Source organism: Homo sapiens, chromosome 3 (genome assembly GCF_000001405.40).
Source record: "Homo sapiens chromosome 3, GRCh38.p14 Primary Assembly".
Taxonomy (NCBI): domain Eukaryota; kingdom Metazoa; phylum Chordata; class Mammalia; order Primates; family Hominidae; genus Homo; species Homo sapiens.
This window is the reverse complement of record NC_000003.12, coordinates 172,813,342-172,829,265: the sequence shown is the minus strand read 5'-3', so window position 1 is coordinate 172,829,265 and position 15,924 is coordinate 172,813,342. Positions and strand designations below refer to the sequence as shown.

At 34.2% G+C, this 15,924-nt stretch overlaps 1 protein-coding gene and 1 pseudogene across 48 annotated transcripts in view, besides 1 other annotated feature; one reads left to right on the top strand and one right to left on the bottom strand.

Annotated features, from left to right (window-relative positions):
• The window catches only part of ECT2 (epithelial cell transforming 2), a 78,540-nt gene continuing 62,616 nt past the window's right edge, over positions 1–15,924 (bottom strand). For 22 of the 48 annotated variants that reach the window (NM_001349098.2, XM_047447624.1, NM_001258316.2 and 19 more), the window contains 3 exons: positions 13,555–13,662; positions 12,429–12,575; positions 7,792–9,118 (listed from right to left, as the gene is read on the bottom strand). In NM_001349098.2, the coding sequence (NP_001336027.1) occupies positions 9,029–9,118; positions 12,429–12,575; positions 13,555–13,662 (345 nt within the window). In that variant the 3' untranslated portion in view covers positions 7,792–9,028. Of the gene's footprint in view, positions 632–7,791; positions 9,119–10,451; positions 10,719–12,428; positions 12,576–13,554; positions 13,663–15,924 lie in introns of those variants that run through there. The other 26 variants (XM_047447607.1, XM_047447612.1, XM_047447614.1 and 23 more) reach the window with 3 other exon arrangements.
• Positions 51–638, top strand: ATP5MC1P4 (ATP synthase membrane subunit c locus 1 pseudogene 4; annotated as a pseudogene).
• Positions 3,820–4,020: a silencer, noted in NCBI's record as "peak4925 fragment used in MPRA reporter construct". NCBI's record gives its function as "represses an SCP1 promoter by STARR-seq MPRAs in K562 erythroleukemia cells {active_cell/tissue: K562}" and the evidence as "EXISTENCE:reporter gene assay evidence [ECO:0000049][PMID:32103011]".

Here is a 15,924-nt window from a genome sequence, read left to right as displayed (position 1 = left end):
TGTGAAGAAGAGATTTTATTTCTTTTTTAAAATAAAGATACCAATTTTTGGCTGGGCGCCGAGACCAAGGGCTAAAGCTGGGAGACTGAAAAAATGCAGACCACTGGGGCACTGTTCATTTCTCCGGCTCAGATCCACTGTTGCACCAGGTGTCTAACCAGGCCTGTGTCTGCCTCCTTCTTGAATAGCCCAGAGAGTTCATCTAAACAGCCTTCCCACAGCAGCTCCCCACTCCAGGTGGCCAGACAGGAGTTCCAGACCAGTGTTGTCTCCTGGGACATTGACACAGCAACCAATTTATTGGTGCTGAGGCAGCCACAGTTGGTGTGGCTGGTTCAGGGACTGGCATTGGAATTGTGTTTGGCAGCTTGATCATTGGCTATGCCAGGAACCCGTCTCTCAGGCACTCGTCTCTCAGGCACTCATCTCTCAGGCAGTAGCTCTTCTCCTATGCCATTCTGGGCGTTGGCCTGTCTGAGGCCATGGGGGGTTCTTCTGTTTGATGGTCACCTTCCTCATCCTCTTCGCCACGTGAGGCTCCATGGGGGCCACCTGTCCGTCCCTGCTGCTGCGACTCCATGCCATTCCTGGTGCTGGGGTGTACTAAGCTTTACCATTAAACACAACGTTTCTAAAAAAAAAAAAAAAAAGATACCAGTTTTTCTCAGCACCATTTATTGAATAGGCTGTTTTTCACCCACTATTTTACAATGATAATGCTGTCGGCTTGGTTTAATACACCAAGACTTCCAGCACTGCACTGTTTTGATTACTACAGCTCTATAATAAACCTTGTATCTGATTAAACAGATTCTTTCACTTCTGTAACCATATTCATTATTCTTGACCCTTTGTATTTCCACATAAATTTAGAAACAATTAGTCACGTTTTATGCACACACACAGACACAGCCACACACACACACACACAGCCTGTTGGTATTTTTATTTGCCTTATTTGAATTTGTTCAGTTTGGGGAAAACTGGTATTTTTCAACACTGAGGCATCCAATCCTGACAATCATATCAATTAAGGTCTTCTTTAATTATTGTAAATAAAGTTCCACAGTCTTCTCTGTAGGGATTTTGTGTATCTTTTATTAGACTTATTCTTAAGTATTTCAATGGTTTTAATGCTATTGTAACAAGTATCTTTTAGGAAAAGGTATTTTTACTTGTTTGTGGCTGGTATCTATTTGTATATTGATTTTGTTTCAGAATTTAATCTAAGTTTTCTCCAGATTATTTATAATTTTCTATCTAAGCAATCATATCATCTTTGAATAATAAGAGTATTGGTTTTTTCCTAAGCCATGATGGGACTTTTAAAATGTCAACAATAATATGCTTAAAAGGAACTCTTAAAAAAGTGGAAAGACAAAATACCAAGCATTCAATGGTCAGCTTTGATTGATGTCTAGGCCTCAAAACAAAACACCAATCCCAAAATGGCCTCTTTCAAAGTAAGCCAAAATAGTTTATTCAAACTCAAACCTCCTGAAACTTTTTACGTTTTAACGTTTATTGTTACCTATAGTCAACCTATTGTGCTGCTGAACAATACATCTTTTTCCTTCTATCTAACTGTATCTTTGTACCCATTGACCAACCCCTCTTTATACCTCCTTCCCCACTACCCTTCCCAGCCTCTGGTAACCGTCACTCTACTCTATCTCCATGTGTTCAACTTTTAATTTTCAGCTCCCACATATGAGTGAGAACATGCAATATTAGCCTTTTTGTGCCTAGCTTATTTGACTTAACATGTCCTCCAGTTCCATCCATGTGGTTGCAAATGAGAGTTTTATTCTTTTTTACAGCTGAATAGTACTCCATTGTGTATATATACCACGTTTTCTTTATCCATTCATCTGTTGATGGACACTTAGGTTGATTCCATATCTTGGCTATTGTGAATAGTGCTACAGTAAACATGGGAGTGCAGACATCTCTTTGATATACTAATTTCCTTTCTTTTAAATATATACCCAGCAGTGGGATTGCTGGATCATATGATAGTTCCATTTTTAGCTTTTTTGAGGAAACTTTATACTGTTCTCCAGTGGTTGTACGCACATTCCCATCAACAATATACAAGGGTCACCCTTTATGTTCTCGAACAAACATCCCTCGGTGCTTGTTCTTTTTATAAAAGCTATCTTTACTGGGGTGAGATGATGTCTCATTGTAGTTTCGATGTACATTTCTTTGATTAGTGATGTTGAGCATTTATTCATATATGTGTTGGCCATTTGTATGTCTTCTTTTGAAACACGTCTATTCAAATCTTTCACCTATTTTAAAATTGGATCTTTTTTCCTATTGAATTACTTAAGCTCATTATATATTCTGATTATTAATTCCTTGGCAGATGGGTAGTTTGCAAATATTTTTCCATTCTGTGACTGTCTCTTCACTTTGTTGATTGTTTCCTTTGCTGTAAAGATGCCTTTTAGCTTGATGTGATCCCATTTGTCTATTTTTGGTGGAGGGTCTTACCTCAATGTTGATGGCTGCTGACTGATCAGGCTGGTGGTTGCTGAAGGTTGGGAGGCAGTGGCAATTTCTTAAAATAAGGCAACAATGAAGTTGGCCACAGTAGTTGACTTCCTCTCATGAAAGATTTCTCTGTAGCATGCAGTGCTGTTGATAGCATTTTACCCCTAGCAGAACTTCTTTCAAAGTTGGGGTCAGTCCTCTCAAATCCTGCCTCTGCATTATCAACTAAGTTTCTGTAATATTCTAAATCCTTTGTCATTTCAACAGTGTTCACAGCACCTTCATCAGGAATAGATTCCATCTCAAGAAAGCACTCAAGAGTCTCATGGGTGGGCTCAAAATAGTCAACCATGCTATAAAAAGATGTGCTGTCATTCAGGCTTTGTTATTCCATTTATAGAGCACAAGCAAAGTCTATTTAGGATAATCTTAATGGCCCTAGGATTTTCAGAATGGTCAATAAACATAGCTTCAAGTTACCAGCTGTATTAGCCCCTAACAAAAGAGTCAGCCTGTCTTTGAAGCACTGAAGACAGGCATTGACTTCTGTCTAGCTATGAAAGTCTTAGATTGACCGGGCGAGGTGGCTCACACCTGTAATCCCAGCACTTTGGGAGGCCGAGGTGGGCGGATGACCTGAGGTCAGGAGTTCGAGACCAGCCTGGCTAACATGGTGAAACCCCATCCCTACTAAAAATACAAAAAATTAGCAGGGCGTGGCGGGGCGTGCCTGTAATCCCAGCTACTTGGGAGGCTGAGGCAGTGGAATTGCTTGAACTCAGGAGGCAGAGGTTGCAGTGAGCCGAGATCGCGCCATTGCACTCCAGCTTGGGCAATGAGTGAAACTCCATCTCAAAGAAAAAAAGAAAGTCTTAGATGGCGTTTTCTTCCAACAGAAGGCTGTTTCATCTACATTGAAAATCTGTTATTAAGCATAGCCACCTTCTTCAGTTATCTTAGCCAGCTCTTCTAGATAACTTGCTGCAGCTTCCCTATCAGCATTTGCTGCTTCACATTGCACTTTTATGTTTTGGAGACCATTTCTTTCCTCATGAACCAACCTCTGCTAGCTTCAGGCTTCTGCAGCTTCCTTATCTCTCTCAGCCTTCATAGAATTGAAAGAGAGTTAAGGATTTACTCTGGATTAGGCTTTGGCTTAAGGGACTGTTGTGGCTAGTTTGATCTTCTCTCTAGACCATTCAAACTTTCTTCGTATCAGCAATAAGTCTGTTTCACTTTCTTATCATTCACATGTTCAATGGAATAGCACTTGTAATTTCCTTCAGTAACTCTTTTTGCATTCACAACTCGGCTATTAGCACAAGGGGCCTTGCTTTCAGTCTATCTCTGTTTTCAACATGCCTCCCTCACTAAGTTTAGTAATTCCTAGCTTTTGATTTTTTAGAGGCCATTGTAGGATTAATTATTAATTAGTCTAATTTCAATATTGTGTCTCAGGAGTTAGGGAGATCCAAGCAGAGGGAGAGACTGGAGAACAGCTGTTCAGTGGAGCAGTCAGGACACACACAACAATTACCGATAAAGTTTTCAGTCTTAGATGGGTGCAGTTTGTGGTGCCCCAGAACAATTACAATAATAACATCAAAGATGACTGATCACAGATCACCAAAAGTTATAATAATGAAAAAGTATAAAATATTGCAAGAATTACAAAAATGTGACACAGACACATGAGGTCAACACATGCTGTTGGAAACACTGTGCTAATAGACTTGCTCAATGCAGCATTGCTACAAATCTCTAGTCTATCAAAAGCACACTATCTGCTAAGTGCAATAAAACAAAATATGCCCATAATATCTACCAAAATTATATACTGATCTTTTGACCTAGTAATCCCACATGTAGTTTTTTTGTTTGTTTTGCAAATTATGCTAACAGAAATACAAAATGACCTATTCATAAAACTTGCAACATCATTGTGGTAGTAGAACACTAGAAACTAATGTTCATCAATAGGGGATTGGGTGAATAAAATAGAGTCCACTCACACAGTGGAGTACTCTGCAATTGTAAAAAGAAATGAAGAACTTATATACAGATATAGAGTGATTTCCAGAATATATTTTGAAGTGATAAAAGCAAGATTGTAGAACAGTAATTATTATATGCCAATTTTTCTGTAAGAAGGGGAGAGAAAAGTGTATTGCATATTGATATGGTTTGGATCTGTGTCCCCGCCCAAATCTCATGTTGAAATGTAAACCCCAATGCTGGAGGTAGGGCCTGGTGGGAGGTAATTGGATCATGGTGAGTTTCTCATGAATGCTTTAGCACCATCCCCCTGGTGCTGTTCTCATAAGAGTTCTCATGAGATCTGATTGTTTACAAGTGTGTAGCACCTTCCCCGTCTCTCTCCCTCCCTCCTGCTTCTGGCCATCTGAAGTGCTGGCTTCCCCTTCACCTTCTGCCATGATTGTAAATTTCCTGAGGCCTCCCCAGAAGCTAAGCAGCCACCATGCTTCCTGTGCAGCCATGCAGAACTGGGAGCCAATTAAATCTCTTTTCTTTATAAATTATCCAGTCTCAGGTATTTATAGCAGTGCAAGAAAAGACTAATACACGTGGTACCATCAGATTTAAAGGTGAGCTTACTACAATATCTAAAGATGCCTCAACTAATTTAGTTAAGCCTGCAATTGTTTTTGAACAAGGATAAGCCTTTGCTGCTAGATAGTTCTTTCAGAACCTTAAGGCAAAGGTAACTTGTTCAGGAGGTTCAAGAAAAGCAGCGGAAGGAACATAAAGAATATAAGTGGTGAATATGAAGCTGTGGAGACAGAGTGAGATTGTCTCAAAAAAAAAAAAAAAAGAGAAAAACTTAGAAGTTTTAGAAAGAAAAATATGTATCACACGGACCCATCAATATACAAATATACATAATACAAATATTATGTATCCATAATTAGAAATAAAAAATATTTTAAAGATCCTCCACCAGAAAAGATTACGACCCACTGAAGCCTCTGATGATCTTTAACTTTTTTTTTGTAAGCAATCATGTATTTTTAAATTAAGGTATGAACATTGTTTTTTTAGACATAATGCTATTGCACTTAATAGTCTACGTATAGTGTAAACATAACTTTCATATGCAATGGGAAACCAAAAATTCATGTGACTCACTTTATTGAGATAGCTGCTTTATTGTGGTGATCTGCAACCAAATGTGCAGTATTATCTGAGGTGTGCCTGTACTAAACTTCCCTCCATGGAGGTTGCAGTCATTTTTATATTCACAACAGACATACGTAAGAGTACATTTACCTACAGCCCCACCAGCAGAAACACTGTCAAATATTTAGATTTCTAATGATTAAAAATGGTAGGTTAGTGTAATTCTAATGAACTTTCTCTTTTAAGGTTGATAGTCTTACATGTTTAATGGTAACTTCTAATTTTCTGTGAACCATCTGGGAATTTTTCTATTAGGTTGTTTTTAGAGACTGGAGTTCTCCTTACACTCTAAATGTAAATCCTTTGTTTTGAGTTACATTTTTCTGTGACCTGTTTTTAACTTTGTTTATATTGACCTATTTTGTATTGTTCCATAAAAAAATCCACTAAGCTTTCAGTTGAAATTAAGTGTATTGGTTAAATTGATGAAAATTCACATCCTTTTTACATCTTTCTATTCATAAACATGTTAGCGCTCTCCATTTATTTTTCTCCTATACTGACTATAACGCTCTGTGAGAATTTTTTAATTGACTTTGCTCAATACTTAATGTGCATGCTTGATTTTAAGTTCCATGTTTTTCTATTTTTAGAAAACTCTCAACTCTTCAAATATTGCTTTCTACCCCCTTCTAGTATTTTAATTTTTCTCTCCAGATATCCTATTATAGGTTGTTGGATATTCATGTCCCATTTTTTACATCTCTTAAACACTTCTTAGTACTTTTCAATGGTTTGTGAGGGTAATTTTCTGAAATTTATCTATTAGGTCACTAGTTTTCTCTTCAGCCAGGTCTCTATTTTTACTTCTAGAAGTTCAACTTGATTCTTTTTCCAATCAAGCTTGTTTATTTTAAAAAGTCATGTCTATTATTCAGTATGAGTTCTTTCTTATATTATCTTTTTGATTGATCTATTATTTCCAGTTCCTGGAGTACACATTCTATTTACTTCATCTCTTTACTCTCCTCATGCCTTTTTATTTCCTCTTTTGCTCTTAACTAAGATCTTACCTTCAACTAGGCTGAGTCAGGGATCAACGTTCCAGCATTTTAAGGCTTATATATTAGCCTCAAATCCCTTCAACTAGTCTTTGGTATCAGTCTACACTTAGCATTATGGCTTTGGTTCTTAATTTCTCATATCTGAGGATTTCCAGATTATTCTTTTAACCTCAGTTATATATGAAAATTATTTCTTGGTTATATTTCATAAAGAAATGCTTGATGTTTCTGTTAGAAGAACATGCACTCTAAATGTAGTAGCTTACTCAGACATGGTACCAAAAGCCCTTAGAATTTTTATTAAGAACAGTGGCTAAGATTCTGTAAACAACCTTTTGGAACCTACTGATAAATCACATGTCTTTCTTCTTTAACTTGTCAGTGTAAGTCATATTGGTAAATAAATTTTCCGATATTGAACTAACCTTGGATTCTTGGAAAAAACACTATTGCATGACCTAAATGCCTTAAAGAAACTAAAAGTGCTCTTAATAAAAACCTAAATTATGATTTTCTCAATAGAGAAGTTAATTATATTTAATATCCATGCATGATACAGAATCCTAATTTTACACATGATACATGCAAACTGTCTTCATCTGATAACAAGGATAGTCTAAAAACCTAAGGCAGATAGATAACAGTAAAAAACCAGAAACATTCCCTTTCAAATTAAAATTAACTACCTGCTATATTTTGCCAGTGTATAGTCAATACATTTCTAGCTTTATTCCTTATCTCATGTCATTTCTTGTCTCTGGAAACCCCACTCTTTTGGGGGAAAATAACAGTTCCACCTCCAAAAAAATAACAATTGTGTATTTTCTGCCAGAAAAATGCATATATGCACATAAACACAAAATTTTGCATAAAACATTATAGGATTCACTATCTACATTTCTCAAAGTAGATTCCAGATTAAAAATTCCTAACTTACAGATAGCCTCGTAAAATAAAATGATCAAAAATATTACTGGAGGAAGGAATAAACAAGTAAGCAAGCAAGTACACAAAAGAGCATATGTTGATGCAAGCATTCATATTTGCCTATGAAAATTTCCTTGAAGAAATTAATACATGAGACATAAAATACACTTGGGTTTTAGGTATTTATTTACAAAGTTCTTACTAATACAATTGCTTTTAAAATGTAGCAAAGAGTCATTTACTACTCTCAGAAGTGGCACATACATGGCATAGAAAACAATCTATAGTCAGTTAACTATTAAAACAGAAACTTGAAATTTAAGTGACAAACATTTGTAGCACTCCCTAAAGAAATAGGAAATAAAAATGCATTTATCCATATGAACTTGATTATTCTGAATTACTGACTATAAAAAGGCTATTGTGAAAGATATCACACTTTGAAACAGCAAATGAATTTTCAATTTTACATTTAATTATAAGACCACAATAAAAAGTTGAACATGCGCATATCTATGCATTTCACAGAAGATTAGTAAAACTGATGGCAACTTCAGAATTATTTCATGAAGGGTACAAACAGTCTTTACCACAATTTTCCCATGGTCTTATCCTTCAAAATAAAATTCCACACACTATCAAACTAAATCAAGATTTGCTAGTGGATAAAATTACCATAAATATACCGTACTCTCTCTGAAACAGCTACAAACATCTTGTTTTTGCAAAATATACAATGTTTCTCAATCTTTCTGTCCTTATCTCAATTTGCAAAAATATTTTGAAACAATCTCCTTTAAATGTTATTCTTGTTAATGAGGGCAAATCTTTTAAAATCCACATGCTAGATCTTGAAAACGCTTGAGAAGAAAATAAACTGTGAAAGGAGTGGTTATTTAAATACTTCAAACTGCACATGTGAAACAGACCCACTATTTAATCAGAATTCTATGCAAGTTTTCATCCAGTATTATGATGTCATTTAATCTCTGCATAAATTGAGCTGCACAAATATCTATTTCCATAAATTCATTCATGGATACTATACAAATAGATTCACAGCAGTATTTGGCACCCGCCCATAAAATTTATTTACTCTATCAGGGTTGCAAAGCTACTAATATCAGCTGATAGCAACTTAAATTATTGGCCTTTGAATGACAGATTCAAACAAGAGATAAATTACATCAAAATCACTATCATTTTTTACATGAATTAACTTGAAAATGTAACAGGTAAACCTTACTCTTTCAAGAAGAAAAATCAAATAGCATAGTTTAGTGTTATTTATCTTCCTTCCAGCTTTCACCAAGTGCTAATTACAAGTACCATTTAAGTCAGTTTCTTATTTGAGTATGAGGTGTCTATACATTTCTATAATTTAAGATTTTGGTAACGCTTCATATCAAATGAGTTGTAGATCTACTTAACGTATGACTTCTCCTTTCAAAGAAGGAAGGAAGGCTGACAAGGGAGGGAGAAGGGATACCCTGTTAAGACAAAACAAACATTTCATATTTTAAATTTTCCTTTAAAAAAATTGTAAAATACAGTTCAGTATCATGCCTATTATTTTTACATTTTACAAATTACTGTAACAATTAAGTACAAGACATCTGACAATTCTAAACTCTTTAAAGTTAGGGGAATGGAAAAGGGAGAAAAAAGAAAACTATTATAGCATTCTGAGAACAAAGCCAAATAGCTAGACTAGTTAACTAGATATTAACTCAACTGAACAGATATTGGCCTATTGCTAGTAGTGATACCTAACTTTGTTTTATGAAATATTAATGATTCAGTGTTTCAGGTTATAAAAGAAAAAATTATAAATTGGCAAACAAGGTTTCTTCTTAGTTCATAAAGCAGAATTAAAAGGAATGAAATCACTTCATGGGAAATAATTTTCTAAAATTAAGTCATACACTCTCAAAGAGTGTTTGTAATATATGTACAACTCAGATGTACATATGTGAGTGTCAGAGTGTATATATGTATATATAATTTTGTTCCACTGTAATCTCAGCTACTCAGGAGGCTGATGTGGGAGGATTGCTTAAGGCCAAGAGTTCGAGACCAGACTGGGCAACTTAGCAAGACCCCCATCTCTAAAAAATATTTTTAAATAATTTTTAAAATTTCGTTCCGTATAAAAATTGAGTGAAACAGCAATCCTTCTGGATAACAGTGATTATTAAATTGCTAAGTTTTACATCCCTGAGAAGTCTTAAAAATTTTAAAATAAAACAACTCTAACAAATAACATGCAAAGACTCAAGAATAACTGTAAATCAAAATAAATTATAAGGCTACTGTTTTAACATATATAAATGGCTAACTGTAAGAGCTAGTAAGGTAATTGGCTTAAGTTCTCATCAACAAGGTTGTAAAATGAAGCATTTAAAAAGCTGGGTTGATGAAGTATAACCATTCAAGTATCAACAAAATGATGATATGAATGTATAATATAAAAGTTTACACTTTCCTCACATGGAACTTTTATGATTTGGCATATTAAAAGCATAATTTTCTATAAATGCTATAAATCTAACATTAAGAATCAGATTTGGAATATAAATCCACTACTCATGACAATTACTATTCTTTAAAATGATAATTTTCCTAAATAAGAAAATTTCTAATGGAACTTATTTTTTCTGGACTTAAGAAACTCTATTAAACCTAAATTGTTATTAATTCAAAGCAGTCATAACATTGTGAATTCCAAAGTTCCCACCCACCAAATAAGTGATTCCTTGGAGAAAAAATATGTTCCTTTTTTTTTTCCCGCAAATACAAATTTTAAATAGCTAATAAGCTCACATTAAACTTCATGAGGCTTGTTTCCATTAGTGGTTGGCAAATCTCCTAATTCTTCACAAATGTCAAAGATGACTTGGAAAGAACTTTTTTGAAATTTGAAAAATCAGTATTTCCTTCTAGTATCTCTGAAAAACTAGCTCGGAAAGCAGAATGACGTACAGATTGAAACCAGGAGTACTGAGAGCGCCCACCAGTAGAGTTTAGGCGCTGAACATAAACATGCTTAGTAAATCCAATTACATTGCTTGTGGAAACAGAATGGGTAATCTGTTAGAACAGAAACAAGCAATTGAGAAGATGACATTAATGTCTTGAAGGTATTTTAGCTGCTTCTTACATATGCTGTCTATTAAAAGTGACATAACCATAAATAAATTAATTTTCTAAAATTTTCTATAAAATTCATTTATTTTCATTTGAAAGATGAAAATGTTTACAATAGTTGCTACAGGTGGCTTCGAGAAAGCTATAATCTAATTTTCACAAATTAATGTTTATCTGCATTTGTCAATTTTAATTGGCCAAACTACTTTGCATATATTCATTTTATCAACTAAATGCAGCTTCTCTCCCATTGGTTAAGATTAATGTTGATGAAAAACCTGTATAAATACACTAATAGATTTAGCCATAACTCTTTGATGTGTTAACTGAAGACTTTAAGCAACTTTAAAATATATATTTAATGAGTATTATTTATGTGTCTTACCTGCGGAAATTTTATAAATAAAAAGAAATCACTTATAAAACTCAAGAGCACTCACAATGTGCCAGGTACTGTTCTAAGCACTTTACATATAATAACTCGCTTAATCCTTATAACTACTTAAGACTCACTTTACAGACAACGAAATTGAAACAGATTGTTAATAACTTGCCAAAACACATACAGCTAGTAAATAGCAGAGCAAGGATTTGAACACTAGGGTTCCAGAGTCCATGCTCTTAATCACCACCCAAATTGCCCCTCAGTATATAACATCATCTGCAAAAATGCAGTTGAGAGAATAAGAAACTTGCTACAGGACACACAGCTAAGAAATGACAGTCACTTGCTTTTCTTAACTTCAGTAGGTTAATAATTTTATAAAGAACAGATATTTCACTCAAATACTTAGTAATAGTAGTATTAAATATCTAATAATAATTCTGAAACTGTTGGAAATTTGGATTGTTCAGGAAACACTTTAAATATACATACATATATATACAATATACATGAATTTAGAACTCGTATCATCCTCTGAAATACAGTTTCAGAGATTATATTCTACTCATCACAAAAATAGTAAAAGGAATAAAACTCGGTCTCTGCTATGTCATTGGAACCGATCTGTATAAACAGAATCATAGCTATTTACATTAGTAAAGTGACAGGCCAGATTGAAACGCGTTTCTTTTCTCAGAGATTTTAGAACATATTTCAATCCCAGTAAAATTTCCTATCAAATAAACTACACATTAAGTATGTCTCTAGTTCATTCATAGTAGGGTTTTCTCAGTTGCCTTTACCCAATAAAGAGGTTAGAGGTTTGGATATAAATATTTAAAAAATGACGTATGATAGGATGCCAAGGTTTAAAGTGCACTAGGGGAGAACTCCTCTCCCCTAGCATCATGCTTTCCATGCTGATTCTTCAGTGCTAGTGTACAGAGCTGTGCTGTCCTTCCAGGAGCCACTAGCCACTTGTGGCTATGAAACCCCTGAAACACAGCCAGTCTGAAATGCAGCCAGCTTTGTAAGTATAAGGTGCACCCCACATTTTTAAGACTTAGTACATAAGAAAGAATGAAAATATCTCACTGATAATTTTACATTGATTCGCATTCAAATGATAATATTTTAGCATACTGGGTTAAATAAAATTATTAAAATTTTTTTAAAATGGAAGAAATATTTCCAATTTTTAGAAGTTAACAAATTCCATAACAACTTCATAAATAAGTCATTTACCCCATTAAATCAAAATAACTTACTGCTAATGATGATGTGCTAGAAAGACGACTCATTACATGCTTATCATTGCTGGAAGGACTTCTTCCCTCCACTGAGCCGTGGGATGTCATAAGAGCCCTTCGAAGAGCTCTTTTTGGAGTTTTGGAGAAAGAGAATGCTCTTGTAACCTAGAGTTTAAGTTACAATTAGTTAAACCTAGACAAATTCAATACAGCTGATGAGAATATTTAAACATAAAAAAGCCAAATATATGGCAAAAGTTTTTCTACTGTACTATGTGGCAGGATTAGAATCTCTTTGGCACAAAACAGTGAGGAAATTTGTAGACTATTTAAACTTTCATTTAGAGAGCACTGCAGTCCAATGGAAGGAGGAGGAGAAAAGAAATCTAGCCTGGGAGAGAAGAGACCTAAGTTCTTCTCTGATTCAGCCAGTCTAGTTGTGAGATTTCTAATCCAAAAATCCCCTCAACCTCCATTTCTTTATTGAAAGAGTGAAGGAATTCACTTGAATAATAATCTAACATGTTTTTCTCTTATACATCATAAATGTTAAATGATAGGAGATACAAAAATTATTAAAATACAAAGCCCCCCCACCAAGGGAAAGAAAACAAAACTTGTAAATCTAGCAGTAGAGAATATGGCTGTAAATCTCTCTTAGAACACTAAAATTCTAGTGCTACTTTAAAAAAGCCTATTATCAACATACTTATGTAATCCTCAACAACTCTGATAAGGTAAGTAAGTTATCTTCATCACGAGAAGACTAAAATAGACTTCTAGAGTCAGGAATAGATAGTCAGGTCCCCTGACTACCGTGTGCCCTTTGCTGAAAATAACTGTGGCGATATATTTAAGATGAGTGCACACATATTTAAATCTAAAACACCAACAGTACATTTCTACTGCAGGATAGTTCACAGAAGCATCATTATTACAGTAACGGGAGGGATAACAAGTTATAGTTACTGTGGCAAGGAAGTCACTGAAGTAAAACTATTGTTTCTGTGGGTCATTTCCTAGAACCGAAGAACAGCTTTGTTTTATAAACTATCTTTATACTGGTGTTTGCAGCAATATTATTTGAATATAGTCTGGAAAATATGTTAGAGATGTGCTAAATAATACTTTCACTAAAACTCACCTTTTTTGAAGTCTTTTTTATTGCTCTTGATGCTCTACTCAATGTACTGTCCATATCTTTTGTATTTACTTCAAAGGATTCTGGATCAGCAGTATAAATAAGATTCTCCTATTGAAAAATAATACTTTTTGTTATCTTAAAAACACACAACTGTTTCTAAAAATCAAACTTTTAAGCATATTTATATATGGGAGTATTTATAAATGAAGCTACTCAAGACTTTTCATGTGCTTGATATAACTTCTACCCTGAAATGTACTGACTTAAGGATAGTGAAAAATAAGCATTCAGTAAATGTGTAATTTGTTGTAAGGGTCATGGATACCAAAGCAATTGGAAATAGACCTCAAAATAAAATCTAACAACTCTGAAACAAGTTAGAAATTTAGCAGACTTAAACTTAATGCTGAAGTATAAAGTTGGCTACAAAACCAATACCACAAACACTGTTCTTGACATAAACTCAAATTAAGATTTAGACTTTCTCCTACTTTACCCTTTTGTCCTCAATCAGCATTTGTAAGGATTCTAAATCAGAGGTTCTAAACCTGTGATCAAGAGCCGGTAGGGTGACAATGAACAGAAATTGGGTGCAAAATTTTGTGTATACACGTGCAAAGGGCATATTCCTGAAGAGTGGGTTCACAGCTTGTATCACATTCCCAAAGGAATCAAAGACCTCATATAACCACAAGTCTACTGTGTACTTCTGTGAGGTCAGCCACTGCTGACATGCTGGGGAGGACAGGATAGGGTGGGAGCTGGAGTGAGATTGGTCAACAGGCACAAAGTTACAGTTAGAAAGGAGAAATAAGTTCTGTTGTTCTATTGCACAGTGGTGACTATAGTTGACAATACATTATTGCATTGTATATTTCAAAATAACCAGAATAGTGGATTTTGAAGGTTCACACCACAAAGGAATGAGTATATTAGGTGATGGATATGCTAAATACCCTGATTTGATCAACACACAATGTATACATGTATCAAAACATCACATTATGCCCCATAAATATGTAGTTATGTGTCAATTAAAAATAAATTTTTAAAAATACCTCATATAGGCCAAGAACCACTGAACCACTTAAACAAGACAATTAATTTCTAAGTAATTAAAAATATTACTTGCCCAAATTATGGTTGGATTTTCAGAAGAAAGCAAGTTAGACAAAATGATTTTGTATAGTCCTATAAGCAATTTGCACTTTAAATTTATAAATCTAGGCTATGAATAGCCAAATTGCCTTGTTATGCTGGCACTATAAGACTATTCATTCTGTGGTGACAGAGAAAAAACAACCTTGTGAAAGTTGTTTCTTCTGAAAATTTTTTCTATTTTAAAAATGTAGAATATATCTAGTATACCTAACCCATAGTAATCATAAGGCTAAAAGAAAATAATGCATAGAAGTACTTTGAAATGAAATGTTAAGCCTCTTTACAAAGTGTTAAATATTATACTCAACAATTATAATGCTTGCTTCAGCTCTCCACCACTGATAGATAGACAGCTTTTGTTATTCTAAAGCTTCCCTAATTTTGTCATTTGAACAACCACATCCCCTCTGCCTGCTATAGAACCTCTCTTTCCACTTGATCAATTTGCTAAATAACTCTAGGTTGCTTATCCTGTACAAATCAGTTAATAGTACTTGTAAATGTCAATATTGTTTCAATTTAATGTTACTTTTTGAGTTAAGAAAAATTCAGAAAACACGAATTACCCATAACTCTCCTAATCAATTACTATCTACACTTTGGTATATTTCTTAAGAGATATATTTCTACACGTATAAAATGTTCTTCATAACAAAACTGGAATATTATTCAGTTTTGTATCTTATGTTTTTCAATTAGCTGTAATTTTTTGTCTCAAAGGATTTAGTCTTAATGAAGAGCTGACAAATCTCTGATTATACCACAATTAATTTAATCATTCCACTATTTTTGAGCATTTAGAGTGCAGTAATGGGGAATTACTGTGGAATGGGTACACAGTTCCAGTTTAGGAAGATGAAAAAGCTCGAAAAACAGATGGTGGTGATATTGCACAACAGTATGAATATACTTAATGCCAATGAACTATATACTTAAAAATGGTTAAAACTGGTAAATTTTATGTTATGTATATTCTACCACAATAAAAAGAAATAAATGAAAGTATATGTCTTTGTATACGAAAATATTAAACCACATGTTGGTAATTTTCTATACTAGAACACTAGCGGTAGAAAAGCAGAATATGAAAAGTTCCTGATGGAAAAAGGGTATACTGCTTCAACCTATACTCTGTCAGAACAGGAAAGAATCTATCCTGCCTCACTAGCCCTCAATGGTCTCCTTCAATTTTTTTTTACAATGTGATTT